The 20,344-nt window shown below is 41.6% G+C and overlaps 1 long non-coding RNA gene across 1 annotated transcript; it reads left to right on the forward strand.

The window, feature by feature from the left end:
• Nucleotides 1-2,148: 2,148 nt before the first annotated feature.
• On the forward strand, nt 2,149-15,949 carry LOC107985383 (uncharacterized). Its single transcript, XR_001754712.2, has 5 exons — nt 2,149-2,327; nt 2,561-2,729; nt 7,417-8,581; nt 14,489-14,610; nt 15,215-15,949. It is a non-coding gene; the product is annotated as an uncharacterized LOC107985383 (long non-coding RNA).
• The last annotated feature ends 4,395 nt before the right edge of the window (nt 15,950-20,344 follow it).

Raw genomic sequence — 20,344 nt, forward strand, 5'->3', positions numbered from 1 at the left:
ACCTTCCTTTGGCGCCTCAGTAAATTTACTTAATCTAGCTGGGTCCAGGTGCTGGGGTGATTACCCTTATTTTATCTCCTGCTAAATCATGGAGGTTTGGGGAGTTCCTTCAGACCCCAGCAAACTTGTTTGTGGAGGTCTGCGGAGTTTCTTCAGACCCCAGTAAAAACTTGTTTAATCTTAAATGGGTCCTGTTGAGAATTCCTTCGTTATCTTGTCATACTTCAAGGCCCAGGAAAGGCCTGGGCAAAACTCTTGGGCTTTTGTTACATTCCAGCCTTTGTATAAGGGGACTGGCTCTCTAGGCTTTTAATATTTAACTTAACCACTTAGTCAGTGCTGAAACAGTTGTTACAGAGGCCTGCCTGTTCAGCCGTTAGTGAGACCTGGCCTGCCACACACAGACACACACACAGACACACACACACACAGACATACACACAGACACACACATACACGTATATACACGCATACACAAACCACATACATACACACTGTATTAGGGTTCTCTAGAGGGACAGAACTAATAGGCTAGATGTGTATCTAAAGGGGAGTTTATTAAGGAGAATTGACTCACACGATCACAAGGCGAGGTCCCACAATAGGCCATCTGCAAGTTGAGGAGTAAGGAAGCCAGTTTGAGTCCCAAAACCTCAAAAGTAGGGGAGCCGACTGCAGACTTAAGTCTGTGGCCAAAGGTCCAAGGGTCCCAAAGCTGAAGAACTTTGGGTCCGATGTTTGAGGGCAGGAAACATCCAGCACAGGAGAAAGATGTAGGCCAGGAGGCTAAGTCAGTCTAGTCTTTCCACATTCTTCTGCCTGCTTTTATTCTGGTCTCGCTGGCAGCTGATTAGATGGTGCCCACCCAGATTAAGGGTGGGTCTGCCTTTCCCAGTCCACCCACTGAAATGTTAATCTCCTTTGGCAACACCCTTACAGACACACCCAAGAACAGTACTTTGCATCCTTCAATCCAATCAAGTTGACACTCAATATTAACCATCACACACACATAGACATACACATACAGACATACACACAAATACATACACACACACACATGCACACATACACTCATACACTCATCTACACACAGACATACAAACACACACATATATAGACACATTCACACACACATATGTATACACATGCACACACACACACACACATACACATACATACACACGTGCACACACATACACACACAGACCCACAGATACAGACACATACATATACACACACTCATACACACACAGGCATACACACATACAGACATACATACACATATGCACATATACACATAAACACACACACACAGACACACACACAGACATACTCATACACACACAGAGACATACATACCCTCATAAAAGTCCAGCTGGGCTGGGCTTTCTCAGTGTGGGCTGTGCCCCCAGCTGGGGGAGAGGCCACTTTTACATGGCCTTTTCCACCTGGCCTGCCCTCCTCCATTCTCTGGCCTCTGGCTTCCTGCCTGTCCTTATATAAACGTCTGAATCTTAGGCTTGGGCAAAGCAAGTCCTCAGACGAGCTTGGATTGTGGGAATGAAGAAACTGAACAAGATAAGGGCTTAGGAAAACTATGGAAGCTTTGAGATTTGTCTCCATTGCGAGCTGGATGGAAAGAGGCTTCACAGGGCCTCCGGAATTCAGGACTTCTTAGAATTGGCTGCCCTGAGACCTGATATGAACCCAGAACTTGATCCTTCCACGTGATCAAATTCGACTCCAGCTGTGGCTCAGCCTCACGGAGAGTTATGATTACATCACCCCTGACAAGCCAAAGGTGGGGATGGAAAAGAAAAAACTCAGGCAAAATTAATACAAGTAGAATGGTTATATGGCCCAAATGTAAAAACTGCAACTTGGTTGCATAGATTAAAGTTGCCCTGAAGATATGCTCCAATTAGCAGCAGTTGCAAGTGAGTTTTTAAAGAAAAAAAGGCCATTTCTAAATTGTTTACCAAGAATTTACATTAAGATAACATATGCTGTAAATTGGCTATACATTTTTCCAGGATGGGGAAGATAATGGGTGAGACAGGTCATCAGGAATAGAATGCCTTTAAACAATTGCCCCCAGCCATGCGTAGGAAGGACATGACTAAAGTCCCACACTCACGTCTCTCTGGGCCTGATAGGTTTTGCACACCTCACATAGCCCACACTGCTCTGGCTATTTTTCTGTGGTCTCTCAGGCATTGGAACCGTGGGAAGCGAGTCTCCTGCCCATCTCTGTTCATCCCGGACAGTTGCAATTGTGGAGGGACCCTCCAATGACATTGGACACTGGAGGCCCAGAGAAGGAAGTAAGTAGAGCTGAGAAGGGTGTACTTCTGATTTGCAATTTCATTTTAATTTCAGTTATCTCTGATCTGGTTTACACATTATATGATTTTAAATGGGGACTTTAAACACTCCTCTGCAACAGCCCTGCTGTGGGATTCTTGTGTTTGCGGTCATGGTAAAAATCAACTTTTTTTCTTGGTTTTAATTTTGAACTCACCTTCTTTTCCCCATCTTGTTTCTCCTAAATGCTTAGGTCCTCTGAAGAGAATAAAATAGTCCACTTAAAGCAACACCAGAAGTCTCTTGGGATATGTGAGGACAATAGCTCCCTGTGTGTGCTGGAGACCTTGGACAAAGTCCCCAAGTCATATCCATACCTACAAGGTGTCAGAAGAAAAGATTACAACACATCCCGTTTAAAGGTCTTTATTGGCTTTGGTTTAGAGGCTAGAATTGGGCAATACATCATTCATAAAACAAAGAGTGTTTGATGAGCAGAGCTGAGGAAGCGGAGGGCTGAGGATAGCAGACAGAGGACAAAAGCACAGGTATTCATCTGCCTGAAGAGAGTTAAATGCTGTCCTCTGAATCCGAGAGATGGGTAGCTGTTAGGATTTGCCAAAAGGAGACTATTTATTTATTTGGAGACAGGGGCTCGCTCTGCCTCCTGGGCTGCAGTGCAGTGGCACAATCACGTCTCACTGCAGCTTTGACCTCCCAGACTTAAGTGATCCTCCCACCTCAGCCTTTCTAGTAGCTGGAACTAGAGGTGTGCACTACCATGCTGCACTAATTTTTTAAATTTTTAGTAGAAACAATGTCTTGCTATGTTGCCCAGGCTGATCTCAAACTCCTGGGCTCAAGCCATTCTTCCACCTCTGCCTCCCAAAGTGCTGGGATTACAGGCGTGAGCCACCGCGAAGGACCAGAAGGAAATATTTAAAGCTCTTGTTTCTAGTCCTTGTAACAACCATCTTTAGTACTTGTTACGGAACACAGATTGTTATGGGGGCAGCCAAGGGTTCACTTGGAATAAGAGTGGAGAAGATGCACCATGGAAAATGGGATAACTCATGCATTAGTCAGCTGCTGTTCCCTAGGAAAAACCTTAGCATCTCGGGGGCTGACAGCAACAAGCTATACCTGTCATGCTCTGCCGCCTGCACATGGGCTGGGGGTCAGTGGGTCTGGTGCTGGCTTGGCTTGTGTCTTCATGCTGGGGTCCATGCTGAAGGGGTGGTGCCTGTCTGGGCCAGGTTCTTCTCATGGAGGCTCAGACGGGAGCAGGAGGACCAGCCTCTCACACACGCAGGGTTAAGGTCTCTGCGCTTGTCCCATGTGTTAACATCCTATAGGCCAAGCAAGACCCATGACCATGCACAATGGCAATGGGGGTCTACTCTGCATTTTCTGGAAAGAGGCGCTGCTAGCTGCATGGCACAGGGCATGGATGTATACTTTAGTTCCAGCGAGGGAGCCAGCTGTCCATCCATCTTGTCACACCCCCATGAATCTTGGAAAAACACTGTTGTGACATGGCATATATGCGCCCAGGAAGCAGGTGGATTTCGTGCTGGCAGTGGTTGGCTGAACTACTACCTAGGCTGACTTTTCTCTGTCTCCTTTGTTCCATCCTGGGATTTTTCTGGGAAGTGTTGGCTTCTCAGGAGTCCTCCAAGTGTGGACAGCTCCCTTTTCAGGACCTCTCTCTTTCTTCTCTATAAAATGAGCAGGTCAAAGGCCATGGCTTCCGAGAGTCCTTTTTAGGCCTATAGTTTGTGATCTGTTGATTACTGTGTTACTCTGGATGAAGAACTTACCCCTTTCTACCTCCATTCCCACCTCTATCCATTGCTGGCAATGTGGTACCAGACTCACAGGCCCATCCTGGTGGGGGTGTGCATGTGGGAGAGGGGGCTTATGGTGAAAACCCAGGAGGAAACAGAAGAAGGAGGCTGTGAAACAGTAGTGACCCCCCTGTGCTGCAGAGGGAGGTGCAGGTAGAGTGAGTGGTGGGGAACGTGGCTGTCCCTTGTGAGGCAACACATCTGGGGGAAGCAGAGGGAGCTCCTTCCTCAGTCTCTGCCCATGCATTCTCTTCAGTGCCCTAGTCCCTGCCGTCTCACACCCCGTTTCTCTGCTCCAAGGAACAGTACAGGGTGTGGACGCTGGTGAAACACATCCGTAGTAACCAGCTGGCCTGTAGCTTCATGGTACTGTGGCTTGGCTGGAAGTCCATGCTAGGATGGGAAGCATGAGCCGGGACTTTCCAACAAGCTGAGCACACAGGCCTGTGTGTGCTGGGTGGGGCTGGGGTCTCAGTGCTGAGGCAGCACTTTGCTGTATTTTTAATTTTTAATTTTTTGTAAAAGATAAAAAGATGATGGAAGTATGTCAGGAGGACACAGGAAGCAGCTTAAAGGGGCTCTACTAGTCAACTCTGAGAAAATTTAAACATTCAAATAAATGATAGTAATAGATTACAATTCATTGAATAAAATAAGAAACCATGAATCTTCTAGATCTGTGGATAAATAGATGATTAACAAATAGAGAGATGGAAAGATAGATACAGATAAAGGAGAAAAGTTCTTCCTTGGAGTAAAAAGAATGCCATTAATAAATATAGAAAAAATGAAGCAATTTTATTTTTCTATATTTATTAGAAAAGAAGTAATAATAAACTTTTTTATTGTAGTTTTGAAGTGACTTCAAACTTACAAAAAGCAGCAAGAGTAATATAAAGAGCTCCTGTACACACCCAGACCCTCCCACTCCTCACATTGTGTCTCGCGCGCTTTTCCCTCTTTCTATATGTGTATGCACTGTTACAGCTTTTCCTGAGCCATTTCAGAGCAAGCTGCAGGTGTGACTCCTTTTGTCCCTAGACATTCTCATCTGTGTCCCCTAAGGCCAAGGACATTCTCCAGCACAGCCTCAGTGCAGTGAGAGGAATCACAGCACTAGCATGGGTCCACATTGTCGTCTAATCTGTCATCCATGCAATTCATCAACTGTGTGTCATTGTCAGGCCGCCTCAGTCTCCTCTGATCTGAAACCGTTTCTCAGTCTTTCTTATCTTTGTAATCTTGTCATTTTTGAAGATAACTGGCGATTTCATGGAATGTCCTCAACTGGGCTTTGTCAATGGATGAGATTCAGGCTATGCAGATTTTCAGAGAAGAATTGTAGATGTGATCTTGTGTCCCTCAGTACCTCCTACCAGGAGGCCATAACATCGCTGTCCCATGGCTGACAGACACTAACTTTGATCTCTAGGTTCAGATGGTATCTGACAGATCTCTCCACAGTATGGTTTACTCTTCTCTCCTTTATAATTAGGAATTATTTCACTGAGCAATACTTTGAAATATGTATTTATGTCTTACTTATAAAGTTTTCACTTTTGCTTTCTAGCTTTAGCATACAATAATAATTCCTCTTCGAATCAATTGTTATTATGATTGCTTTCAAATTGTATTCCTAACTTCGTTTTTAAAACATACTTATAAATGGCATTCATTCTACTGCAAGGAAACACTTTTCTCTTTTACCTACCTATCCATCTATCTGTTAGTCATCTATTTTGCTATAGATCTATCCCACTCATGGTTTCTTATTTTACTCAGTGAGTTAGAATGTATTGCTCTTGTTTATTAGAATGTTAAAATTATCTCAGAATAGGCTAGTGGGAGCCCCTTTAAGCTGCTTCCTGTGTCCTCTTGACATATTTCCATCATTATTTGAGCTTATCCTTACTTTCTGATATAACAAGAAGTCCTAGATTTATGTTTTACTTTCTCTGATCCAAGGTGAAAATCAGTGGTTGGAATCTGCAGTGAATGCAGAAAGCAATTCCCGCGTGCTGCCTGTACTCACCACTCCTGGAATGCCGTGAGGCCTCAGTCAGAGATTCTCAACCTGGGGCAATTTTGCTTCCCAGGGCACATTTGGTAATGTCTAGGGATGTGTTTGGTTGTTCCAATTTGTAAGGCAGGTGCTACTGGCATTTAGGGAGAGAGGGCAGGGATGCTGATCAACATTCTGCAATGCATAGGACATTTCCTAGGTCTCACATGGCCACAGTGCAGAAGTAGAGGAACCTTGTTCTTGGCCTTGTCTGTTGGTCAGTGCTACAAAATACACACAGAAACTTACCCACGTGTAGATAGCTATTGTTCTATTACCTATTTACGTATTAAAAACTCTGAGTTAATATTGACACCAAACCCAATGCAATGAGATTCTTTCCAGTCCCCTCCTTTCTATAGTTGTGGCTCTTTTCTTGGACATTTATAAATCTTAGTTCCATTATCATCAATATATTTACTTGCTTTCTCTGTACTAGAACTCACAGAAGGTGAAACATTATTCTAGATCAGTGTTTCCCAATTTATCTTCACAGGACACTCTTTCTCATGGTTGCTGATACATGTTAGCCCTTCCCCGCAAAACACAAAGGGTGTGAGGAACAGAATCGTCTAGGAAAGTTGGAAGAGAATGAATCAGATTCTCATTGCAAGTATTTTTTGTTTTAATGAATATTCTAATGTGCATTGGTATCTCTGAATGGAGGCTTTTGTATACAGTATAATTTCAATGTATTCTTCAGGGAATCTTTGAAAATGTAATTAGCAATATATATTAACTCATAGCCACATTTGTGCTGTGTGCAACAGTTTGCAAACACTGTTTTAGATCTTTTGCACCCTGCAAGGAGTTTTTCTAGAATTTTCCATGAACATAAAGAGTTTCATGCTTTTGCGGAAATTCATTACTGAGAAATATTTATACAGCAGGTTTTCTCTGTAGTAGTACACTATTGCATGAGACTGTGTATGTGTGTTTGAGATTGTGTGTGTGCATGCACCTGAACAAGGCACCAATCCCTCAGGAGCCTGAGAGCTGCCCACTACGGGTCCCCTGATGGCTCACTCCATTCAACAGCTCTTGTGTTCCCCCGGAAGCCCTCATCGCTCTTCTCTGAGGTCTCTGGGTTCCCACTGCAGCATTTGTTATCACTGTCGTAGTTCAGCAGCACCATGGCATTTTCCTAGGGTAGCATCACATTGAAGATGCACTCACTTTACCTCCTGTGCTTCCTTCCAGTGGGCTCAACCTACTCCAAGGCACCCTCTTCTGGTGAGAATCACAGGCCTAGAAGGAAAGAAGGGGATGTCTATCAGCTGCCATGCCTGTGCCTCTCTGCTTCCTTTGTTCCATGCACATGGCACACTGTCTACTTGCTCAATGCTGTGGTCTCAGCCCTAGCACTGGACTCAGTAAGGAATTAGTTGAGCGAATGAATGGATTCTCCAGCAATCTTTATAAAATATGTTTTCCACATTTTTCAGACAAGGAAACTGCAACAAAAAGTGTCAGACCCCACACTGTGATCTCAACACTGCTGAGCTCTGCCTGGAATCTTGGAACTCTCCAGCGATCTCCTCTCCTTAAGAGTGGACGTGGGATGCCTCCACGCATTCAGTCAAAATAAGGTTATGGTGTGCCTGTTGTGTGCTAGGAATTATCTTCTCATCAGAAAAAGAATCTCTCTATGTTTTGGGAATAAGTGAAGAACAAAATGATGATGTGTAAGAGGTTCTTGCCAAATTGGTCGGCACAGAGAAGCCCTGGAGAAAGGCTGACAGTATTGCTGGTGGGGGCTCTGCTGGCTGGTTTCCAGGACTCTTCCTCTGGGACAGCTTGTGCTTCCTGCCACCCTCCCCAGGGTCATTTCTTATCCTTCCCCAGTTGCATTTTGATATTTCCTTTTAAGATTTTACTGTTTTTCAAAAGATCCAAAAGTAATTAAAACTCTAGCCATTGAAATGGCAGTTCTAACAAGTCGTCTTAGAGTCATTGTCACCTCATGGGGCTGCTAGCAAGGTATCCATATGAAATCATCTTATCCACACTGGGAAAGTCTCTGACACACCCATAAAGGCATGTTCATCCAGTATGCACACTGAGTGTCCTCCACATTCCACAGATTGTGAGAAGCACAGACACATTACAGAGAATGAGATGGATACAATATTGCCTTAAACGAACTGGTGGCCAAGCCAAATTCTAACTGCAGAGAATGATCAGGAAGGAGCGATTTGAGGAAATAACATGTGAGCTAGACTTTTAAGGAGGAGAAAGAGCCAGCTGCAGAAAGCCAGCAAGAATGGTGTTTAATGCAAAGAAAATCATAAACCGACCCCTAGCTGGAAATGATCCTAACCTGTGGAAGCTCCTGAATTGAGTGAGGAACCGGCTGGCAGGAGAGGTAAGCAGACTGGGTTTGGTGGATGAGCAGATATCAATTCCTGCCATGCCTTGCACACCGTGCTGAAGAATTTCTATTTTACTCCAAGTGAAATGAGAAGCCTTTGAAAGCTTTTACCAGGACATGACAAGACACCTTTTATATTATTAGAAGGCTGGCATGGCCACAGGGAAGGAACAGGCTTCTAGTTGGTGAGAATGGGAGGGTGGAGAACAGTCAGGAGGACATTGCAGTTGCTCAGGAAAGAGAGGACAGTGACCTGGGCCTGTGCCGTGGCCGGGAGTTGGAGCACAGGAGACTCAGGATGCCTATGAGAGGTGGCGGGGCAGGACTTGCTGAGGGCTGGGTTGAGGGCGCAGTGAGGAGGAAAGAACAGAACTCCAGCCCAGGCCTGAGTAAGTCACAGGATGGTTACTCAGCCAAGGCAGAGGTGAGGATGAGCAGATTGTCAGGGCTGGGGCTTTGGGGAGGAATCCAGAGCCGTCCTCATAGAGTGTTGGGGCGTTATGCATGTAGGACTGTGGATCTCAAATGCCACCCCGTGGATCCAGCTTAGAGGTTCAGGTTTTACGAGAGTGCAGGGGAGGGCACCTCTCAATTTTGATCATGGACTTCATTTGGGGCAGTACCACATGGTTTTCCATTATGAATTAGTGATAGTCAATTTTAATCTTTGCCAACCATATTTGGAAAATTAACATTAGCAATTCTTAATCTAAAAAAGCATGGATTACAGGAACCCAGAGTCTATAACCCATGGCTTGGAAGGTGTCTGAGAGAGATCCTGGGCTGTGTCAGATTTCGCAGAGAGGGTGGGTGGCTGACCTCTGAGAGATGGAGGGCTTCTGACAGGAACTAAGGTGGGAAGAGTCTCGCAGAGCGGCAGTCTTCCTACCCCACGATAAAGAAGGTGACAATATGTTGAAATATGACATGTGAAGATGAAGAGATCATGAAGAGAATCCTCCAAGGTGGCAGATAAACCACAAAGCTACAGGGCAATTCCTGTGCCCCCAGCCACCTGCCCTGTAAATCCCGGCATCCTCCACTTCACCACAATGACCAATAGAGGGCAGCATTCACCCATGGATGACCAGCCCCTCAGGTGCCTTTTACTCCAGCTTCACCCTGGGGAGCAGGCTCTGAAGGTGGCCCTGGGGTCGACATAGGATCTGCATTGAAGGAAGAAGCTCTACTAACTAAACACTCCCTGAGTGCTGTATGGGTTCTGCAGAGGCCCCTCTGCTTGGCTCTGTTCTTGCTGCTCTGGGCTACAGGGGTGTGCAGGGTTTTATTGATCAGAGCAATGGCCAGTAGATGGCATAGCCTCCTTTTCCTGCAGCTGTCCCCACGGCCCTGCTGGACAGGCCCAGAACGGACCCTCTCAGAAGACAAGGACTCTCTCAGGGTGGGTGATGAACATGTGGACACCTCTGTGGACAAGACTGGTTTCTTTCCTCTCTTTCACTCTTCCCTCTTCCGCTGTTATTACTGTTGGCCCTCTTCCTCCCCTCCCCCTTTACTAAAGCTACCCATCTCCCATCTCCTTCTTGCTCATGGTCCCTTCTGGAGGTCAGAGGTGTGAATGCCAGGGAAAATCTACTTTTGTTCTTGTGGTTAACAGGGACACGTGATCCATTTGTGACAGACACAGTTTTCCATCCACGATGAGGTGTCTAGGGAGAAGATTCACCTTAGTCCCGATCTGATAAATCTCTAGACAGTGGAACTCTCTTACTGGTACCTGCTCAGGCCTGGTGCTTACATTCCGCTCCAAATAGCTTCATCCTCTCCCATAAAACATAATATCACCACCATCTCCATCCAAGCAATCATCATTATCATCACCACAATCACCACTGTCCCATCAGCATCACTGTTATCACCACTGTTGTAAACATCATCACTAGTGTCACCATCACTATCTCCACCAACCTCACCATTAACATACTCAGCAACATAAGCACCATTATCCCCATTATCATCAACACCCCCATCACCACTAGTACCATCACTGTCAACCACCATTACCATCACCACCATCACCATCATTATCAACACTATTGCCATTGCCATCACTATTACTACTAACATCACCATCACCACTATCACCACAACCACCACCATTACCATCACCACCATCACTACCATCACCACCACCATTGCCATCACCATCACCACCACAATCACCATGGTAATCCTCATCCGTAACACCATCATCATCATGACTACCATTACCAGTATCAACATGACCACCATAACCACCATCATCACCACATCACTATCTTCATTACCATCATCATCACCATAATCACCACCGCTTTCACCGCCATCATCATTATCGTCAGCATCACCTTCTCCATTATCATCACCGCCATCACCATTACTGCCACTGCTGTCACCATTCTCACTTTTGCCACATCATAACCACTACCACCACCATCACCAACATTATCACCACCATCATCACTACCATCATCACGCTATGACCATTATCAGCAACGTGACCACTACAATCCCCATCATCACCGTCACTATCACCACCATTACTATCATCATCACCACAATCACCACTGCTGCTATAGCATCATCATTAGCATCTTCACCACGATCACCATCTCCATCTCCACAATACCGTCATCATCACCATCATCATTTTCACTGTCACTGCCAGGTGTCAGCAGTTACTCTGCATTGGACATTGTGTTCTGCCCTTTATCAACCTCGTGTGATTATACAGTCATTCTGATTCTATATTTTATACAGAAAAATAAGGTGGCAATTGGCTTTGTAACACGATAGAAGAGTATGATAACCTGCCTTCTATTCTCAGAACTATTTTGAAATCAATAAAAGAGAAGACTTATTTTATTTCTCATCTCCCACATTGCTGGATCCTTTCTAGATAGGTCTGGTCTGGACATCCACAGTGATGTCCTCACTGGTCCACTGGTCTGCACCCTTAGATTCTGTTTCTCTGGTTCTCAAATGTTCTGAAAGCCACATCCCCTGCCACATGAAGCCCTGGAAACCTGCCCTCTGTGGCTTCCCTTCAGCTTTTGCCCATCATGTGGCTTGGCCTCTAGAGAAGCTGGACTTCCTTGACGTTCTCAGACACATCCTGTCCAAGCTTATATGAATTTGCCCTTCTGGAAAGTGCACTGTAGCTCCCCATCCACCATAGATCTTTGCCTCTTCAAATATAACATGCTTCCCAAGTTCAGGTCTACATAAACCTTTTCTATAAATCCTTCTCTGATCCATGTAACCAGGTGTGAACCTTTTGATTTTGGTCTCCTACAGCACTTTTATATTCACTATAGGCATTTATCCTCCTCCTCTCATGGTCTTTCTTACTTGTGTGTGTATTTCTGTCCCCCACTAGTCCATGAGGTCCTGGTGAGCAAGGACTGAGTCTCCTTCCCCACGTGATGTGCCTTTCAGAGATCGCTGAGAGAATCACAAACAAAAACTAGCTAATAATAATAACGTCACCTTACAATGAACATAACATTCAATAATTTATTATAGCATCACATAACTGCTTAGTAGTTACTATTACTGTCTCCATTTTACAGATGAAGAAATTGAACCACAGAGAGGCAAGTACTACAAAATCGCACAGCTTATAAGTGGAAGAACCAGGCTTTTAACCCGTGCAGTCTGGTTTCATGCTTTTGGCATGAGGTTAGATCTCCCAGCAGTCCCCAGTCCTCAACACCTTTGGATACTTGGCAAATTCCATGGTGGGCCCAGTTAGATAGCTTTTGAGCTGGAGCTCAGTGTTTGAAACCTCTGAAACTCCAGGGTCATCCCACCTCATATGGAACTTGACACTTATTCACACCCACGTGTCTTGGCCCAGACTCCCTGTTTTGGAATTCCCTTCCCCTATGTCACCTCATTGATTCCTCTTCAACTTTTGTGATTCCACAGAAATTACATTCTCCATAAAGATGACTGTCTAGATCGGGCTACCCAGAGGGAGTCCTTGTAATCAGAATTCAATTGCAAGTGGCTTATTTGGAAGGCAATCCCTGGGTACACTACTAGGACAGTGAGGAAATGAAACAGGGATGAGAAGGTGGTCAATACTATGAGTGTGAGCTGTCAGGCTACTGACTGCTATGTGGCTCATTTCTGCTGGGAACGTCTGGCAGATTGTGTTTGACGTGTCAGGTGGTGTCAGTCGTTGCTGGAGACTGTGCCAGGGAATTAGTTATCTTGCACTTACTTGGGCTATTTGTACAGGTAAATGGTTACAGATGCTGGCAAATGGAAAGTGGGCTGATTGATGCTGAGGTAGAAAGGACCCAGGAATGTAGGCAGCTTGTCCTCCTCCCCTAGCCTCTCTATGGGTTTGGTGCCTTGCTCTGTGCTCTCCAGTGCCCTATTCTCTCCTCTGATTTCCACTTCCCTGTCTAGCAGACCTGACACCCATTGATGGTGGAAGACTCAGATCTTCCTCCTCGAGTTATCCAGCACCCAATCGAGTGTCTACCACAGAGCACATGCTCAATAATACAGGAGGAGGACACAATTAGGCCCATTTTATGACAAGTCTGAAAATTTTCCATAAATCTTTGTTTAGCAACTTTAATTTATGGACAAATCCTCTTGAGTAATTAAAAGAGAAACATTTTATAAAAGTTGCAGAAACAGAAAGCAAATAGCTTTATGTCATTTAAAAAAAATCACACAGAAAAGTGAAAATGTCTATAAAAGAAATGAGAGACAAGGAAAATTGTAATCATTAGCTTGGAGGCCCAAAAGTAAAATAAGGTAAAGGTGAAAATGAATCACTGGTGCTATGAAGCTCATTCCCTTCCATGGAACAAGGAATTGGGTAAGAGAGGCAACCCAACACCACATGCCAGCACCCAGGCAGTTCCAAGTGGGTTCAGGGCAAAATAATCTTGGCATCTTGGTGAACTTGGTGGGTGAAAACACAAATGATCATCAAGGTACTCTGCCTAGGTGATGCTTTACTGCCCGAAGCTGGGTAAAATGTTTTTCTGTGTACTTTAAGGCATTTTTAGGATACTGTATACATATATATATATATATATATATATTTTTTTTTTTTTCGAGACGGAGTCTCACTGTGTCATCCAGGCTGCAGTACAGTGGCGCGATCTCTCAGTGCAGTGGCGCGATTTCCGCCTCCTGGATTCAAGTGATTCTCCTGCCTCAGCCTTCCAAGTAGCTGGGACTGCAGGTATGCGCTACCATGCCTGGCTAATTTTTGAATTTTTAGTAGAGACATGGTTTCACTACGTTGGCCAGGCTGGTCTCAAACTCCTGACATCAAGTGATCCACCTGCCTTGGCCTCCCAAAGTGCTGGGATTATAGGCGTGAGCCATCCCCCCTGTGAGGTCACTATATTTTATTATACTTCTATTATTTGGTTTCAGGTCCACTATGTCCAAAATGTCTGGGGAAGCAGAGGTGGTGAGCAGGGACAAAGTGGGATCTGAGCTGTGCTCTTGCTTGCCTGGTACCCCGGTGCTGTGGGCAGCACAGACATCTGCCTGGTGTGATTGAGTGGGCATTTGTGGTAGTCATTAGGGCTGTCCCTTGAGTGCTTCTGTTTCTTATGGGTACAAGACAGGATTGTCCTTCCCCTTCCTTTGAGTTTGTTGTAGTCATGACCTGCTTTGGTCAATATAATAGAAGAATAAGTGGCATCTGTTACTTCCAGTTGCACTTGGGGAAAGCTGGTGCTCATTGCCTTGGCCACTGATACCATTGTGAGGGTGTCTTCTCCATCATCTTGGGGTCCAGAGTGAGCACAACATAGTTCAGCACCCCCAACACACATGCAGTGCATCTATACAAATAGCAGTCACAATAATGGAATGGTATGTTGCTGTCTTAAGTCCCTCATACTTTTTTTGTTACCACAGCATAACCCAGCTCATCCTGACTGATGCCACCATTTCAAGAGAAGAGAAATGAGACTGAGAAAGATTAAGATATTTTCTTAAGATTGGACACTGTGTTCCTACCCGTTGTGCTTGCCTTATAGGTATGTGTTCTGGTTTTGACAATCAAGATATAGATAAAATGAGGGCAGAAACATTTGATTATTTACTAAGAGCAAGAGAAGGAGAAAGAGAATTAAACAGAGAGGAAGAAGATATGTAAGGAGGAAAAGCAATAAACTAGGAACCAAGCGCGTGCAATCTTTATAATTTCTTTAGAATTTTCTTCGCTTTTAAAACTTTGTTTTATTTTTGAAAGGGAAGGAGTATCTTCCATTAATTTTATAGGACATCCCATGCTTTTTGTAAAACGGAGTTTTATTTATTTTCCACTAAATACAAATATTTATTGCCTGTCTACTATAGGCTATACTTTGGCCTTTTGTTCTGTATAATTCTCCTCATTTAAAAAGGTATAATTAGTCAACATACATTTCATAGATTTACAGCCAAGTATTGTCTGTATACCTATTGGTTTCACTTTGATCTTCTATATTCAGAAAAAGAAAACAAGAAGAGACTTTAATAACTAATTATAAGATAAACATTAAGAGTCTTGTGTTAGGCTTCTGTGTACACTGTTCAGTTAGTTTTGAAATTATTTTTGTATTCATTCATTCATTCATTTCTCTTAATTCTTTTTTCCAGTCGAAAGAGAATTTATTTAAGCACAGAGATCAAGCAAAAGTGGAGCACAGGACACACTTTCAAGTTGCCTTGGGGACTGCTCTGTAGAACAAAAAAGAAACTCAAGATTTTAAGGAATAAAAAGTACAAATGAAGAGAAGGCATGATTACAAAAGTTGTTGATCAGTAATTCTCATTGGTAGACAGAAATACCAGTGGCTAATGATCGGCTATACATTGTTGAATTATAGGATGTATGGTATTTAAAATATATTTATTTAAAACTAAATTTTTTAAAGATTTTTGATGGGTTTAGGGGTACAGGTGCAGTTGTGTTACATGGATATATTGTGTAGAGGTGAAATCTGAGCTTTTAATGTACAACTACCCAAATAAGATACATTGAACCCGATAGGCAGCATTTCACTTTCACCCTCATTCTATCCTCCCACCGTTTGGAGCCTCCAATGTCTATCATTCAACTCAGTAAGTCCATGTCCATGGTTTAGCGCCCACGTATAAGTGGGAATGTGCAGTTCTTGATTTTCTGTTTCTGAGTCATTTCACTAAGGATAATGCCCTCCAGCTCCATACACATTGCTGCAAAAGTCATAATTTCATTCACTTTTATGGCTGAATAGTATTCCATGGTATATATCTACCAGATTGTTTTATTCAATGATGTGTTGATGGACACTTAGGTTGATTTCACAACTTTGCTATTCTGAATTGTGATACAATAAATATACAAATGCAGAAGGCTTTTTTATATAATGATTTCTTTCTTTTTGGGGGGTACATAGGCAGTAGTGGAATTGCTGGATTGAAGGGTAGTTCTATTTTTAGTTTTCTAGAAATTACCATACTGTTTTCTATAGAGGTCATACTAATTACATACCAACATCTTGTTTTTTGACCTTTTTTGAGACAGGGTCTCCCTCTGTTGCCCAGGCTGAAGTGCAGTGGCATGATCATAGGTCACTGCAGCCCCAACCTCTTGGGCTCAAGGCATCCTCCTGGCTCTGCCTCCTGAGTAGCAAGGACTGCAGGCCCACACCACCACACCTGGATATTTTTTTTTTCTTGTTTGTTGAGACAAGGTCTCACTATGTTGCCGAGGCTTATCTTGAATGCCTGAGCTCAAGTGATCCACCCACCTCAGCCTCTCAAAATACTGTGATGACAAGCATGAACCACTGCACTTGGCTATTTTTTGACTCCTTAATAACAGCCATTGTGACTAGTATAAGATGGTATGGCATTGTGGCTTTAATTTTCATTTCTCTGATATTTAATTATGTTAAGCATTTTCATAAGTTTGCCATTTGTATGTCTTTTATTTAAAAATGTCTGTTCATACCCTATGCCCACTTTTTAATGGGGTTATTCTTGTTTTTCTCGTTGAGTTGTTTGAGTTCCTTGTAGAGTCTGGAAATTAGCTCTTTGTCAGACACACCGTTGGCAAATCTTTTCTCCCATTCTGTAGGTTGTTTGTTTACTGATAATTATTTCTTTCGCTGTGCAGAAGCTTTTTAGTTTTATTAAATCCCATTTCTCTGTTTTGGTTTTTGTTGTATTTTACTTTGAGGACTTCATCAGAAATTCTTTGCCTAGATCAATAGTTAGAAGAGTTTTTCCTAGGTTGTCTTCTAAGATTTTTATAGTTTCAGTTCTTACATTTAAGTCTTTAATCCACCTTGAGTTAATTTTTGTATGTGATGGAAGGTAAGAGGCCAGTTTCATGAATCTACATATGGCTCAGCAATTATCCCAGCACCATTTATTGAATAGAATGTGATTTCCCTTTATATAATTTTGTCAAGTTTGTCAGAAATCAGTTGACTGTAGCTGTGTGGCTTTATTTTTCAGTATGTGTCTATTTCTATAACATGACCGTGCTGTTTTGGTTACTACAGCCTTGCAATATAATATGATATCTCCAATTTTATTCTCTTTGCTTAGCATTACTTTGGGTATTCATGATCTTTTCTTGGTTTCATATGAATTTTAGGATTTTTTTTTCTAATTCTATGAAGAATGACATTGGTAGTATGATAGTAATTTAACTGAATCTGTAGATAGCTTGGGCAGTATGGTCATTTTAATGATATTGATTCTCCCAATCTATAAGCATGGGATTTTTAAAATTTCTTTGTGCCATCTATTATTTCTTTCTTCAGGATTTTGTAGTTCTCTTTGTAGAGATCTTTCACCTCCTTGGTTAAATGTGTTTCTAGGTATTTTATTACTTTTTGTAGCTATTATGAATTGGATTGAGTTCTTGATTTTGTTCTCAGCTTGGTCATTATTGTTATGTAGAAATGCTACTGATTTTTGTACATTAATTTTGTATCCTGAAACTTTCATGAAGAAATTTATCAAATCGAAGAGTCTTTGGAAGAATCTCTAGGGTTTTCTAGGTATAAGATCATAACATAAAAGAAAACAGAAAATTTGACTTCCTCTTTTACAATTTGGATGTACTTTATTTCTTTCTTCTGCCTGATTGCTTTAGCTGGAACTTCCGGTAGTATGTTGAATAGGAGTAGTCATAGTGGGTATCCTTGCCTTATTCCTATTCTTAGGGAAAATGCTTTCAACTTTTCTTCATTCAGAATGATGTTGGCGTTGGGTTTGTCATATATGGCATTTATTGTTTTGAGGTATGTTCCTTCTATGCCTAGTTTGGTAAGGGTCTTTGTTATGAAGAGATGCTGCATTTGGTTAAATGCCTTTTCCCGAATCTTTTGATATGATCACATGATTTTTGTTTTTAATTCTGTTTATGTGGTGAATCCTATTTTTTTTATTGTGTCTGTTGAATCAATCTTGCATCTCTGGAATAAAACCCACTCAATCTTTGTGTATTATGTCTTTGATATGCTGCTGGATTTTGTGTGGTAGCATTTTGTTGAAGATTTTTGCTTCTATGTTTATTAGAGATATTGGTTTGTAGTTTTTTGTTGTTGTTGTTTTTGGTTATGTCCTTGTCTATCTTTGGTATCATCGCAATGCTGGCTACATAGAATAGAATAGAGAAGATTCCCTTTTTGGAAAAGTTTCAGTAAGATTGGCAGCAGTTCTGTCTTGTACATCTGATAGAATTTGGCTATGAACTCATCTGGTCCTAGGCTTTTTTGTTGTTGTTGGGAGTTTTTTTTTTTTTTTCTTACTAATTCAATTTTATTACTCATTATTGGTCTGTTCAAAATTTCTTTTTCTTCCTGGTTGAAACTTAGGGGATTGTATATTTCCAGAAATCCATCTATTTCTTCTAGATTTTCTCATTTGATCACATAGCGATGCTCAGAGTAGTCTTTGATAATCTTCTGTATTTCTGTTGTATCAGTTGTAATGACACCTTTATCGCTTCTGCTTGCACTTGTTTGAATCTCCTCTCTTTGTTTGTTGGTTAATCTAGCTAGTGGTCTATTGATTTTGTTGATCTTTTCAAACAACCAACTTCATTTCATTGATTCTTTTTTTTTTTTTTTGGTCTCAATTTCATTTAGTCCTTTTCTGATTTTTATTCTTTTTTTCTTTTTTACTAGCCTTGGGTGTGGTTTGTTTTTTTTCCTCAGGTTTCTTGAGGTATAACCTTAAGTTGCTTATTTGAAATCTTTCTATCTTTTTCATGTAGGCAGTTAATGTTATAAATTTCCCTCTTAGTACTGATTTGGTTGTTTTTAAGACATTTTTGCAATCTATATCTTTATTTTTATTCATTTACTTTTTTTAATGTCGATTTTAATTTCATCATTGGTCCAACAGTCATTCAGAAGCAGATCATTTAATTTTCATGTATTTGTATAGTTTTGAGTATTCCTCTTAGTGTTGATCTGTATGTTTATTTCACTGTGGTTCAAGAAGGTATTTGGTATGATTTCAATTTTTTTACATTTATTGAAATTTTCCTTGTGGCCTAGCATATGGTAAATTTTTGAGAATGTTTTATGCATATACCAGAAGACTGTATATTCTGAAGTTGTAGGGTAGAATATTCTGTAAATATCTGTTAGGTCCATTTGCTCTAGAGTTCAACTTAATTCCAGAATTTTTTGGTTGATTTTCTGCCTCAATAAACTGTCTAGTTCTGTCAGTGAGATATTGAAGTCCCATACAAATACCGTATTGGTATTTATCTCTTTTTTTAGGTGTAGTAGTATTTGTTTTATGAATCTAGGTGTTCTAATGTTTGGTGCAAATGTATTTGGAATTGTTAGATCTTCCCCAATAAATTTCTTTATCATTATATAATTACCTTATTTGTCTCATTTATAGATTTTCCTATTTTTTTCCTTTTTGTTCTCTCTCTGAAATATGTGTGACTCCTAATTTTACATGCTTTTTATATGGTCCCATATTTCTTGAAATGTTTAATCATTAATTTTTTTCCTTTATTTTTGTCTGACTGGGTTAATTTCAAAGACCTACTTTCCACATCTGAAATAATTTCTTCTGCTTTGGTCAAGCCTACTATTGATACTTTTAACTGGATTTCAAAATTTCACCAATACATTTTTTATTTCTAGTAGTTGTTTGGGTTTTTAAAAATCTATCTTTTTTGATACTTGAATAGTATTTCTGATTTATTTTGGTTTTCAATTTTCTCTTGGATTATATTGTGCATTTTTAAAATCGGCATTTTAAATTCTTTATCAAGCATTTCAGAAAAATTATTTTCATGAAGACCCATTGCGGGAGAGTTAGTGTGGTCCTTTTGAGGTATTGTTACACTCTGCTTTTCCATACTTTTGGAATTTTTTCTCTGGTTCCTTCTCATCTGTAAAGCTATCTCTGTTTCTAATTTTTAAATTTACTTTCATTTGGAAGGGATGTTTTTGTTTTTTCCTTTTCTCCCTTGAGAATGTGTATAATGTGTGCTGTGTAGGGTTCAACTTTGGTTCTGGGTGCTTTCATTGTCAAAGGTTCTGTGTATGTTCCTTGGTTATAGGTAGTCTTTGTATGGTGGCTTCCTTAGATGTTGGTTGTAGTAGTGGTGAAGGGAGAAATGAGTGGGTTCACTGCCTCCTACATGTCCAGTATGGCTGAGGTCTCAGGAAGTTTATCTCATTCTCCAGTGCTATGCATTTCTGTCAGCAGATTTTCTATTAGATTGTGCCATTTATTTTCCAATCCAGTGGGTGGTGC

The sequence above is a fragment of the Homo sapiens genome, chromosome 20 (genome assembly GCF_000001405.40).
Source record: "Homo sapiens chromosome 20, GRCh38.p14 Primary Assembly".
Classification (NCBI taxonomy): Eukaryota; Metazoa; Chordata; class Mammalia; order Primates; family Hominidae; genus Homo; species Homo sapiens.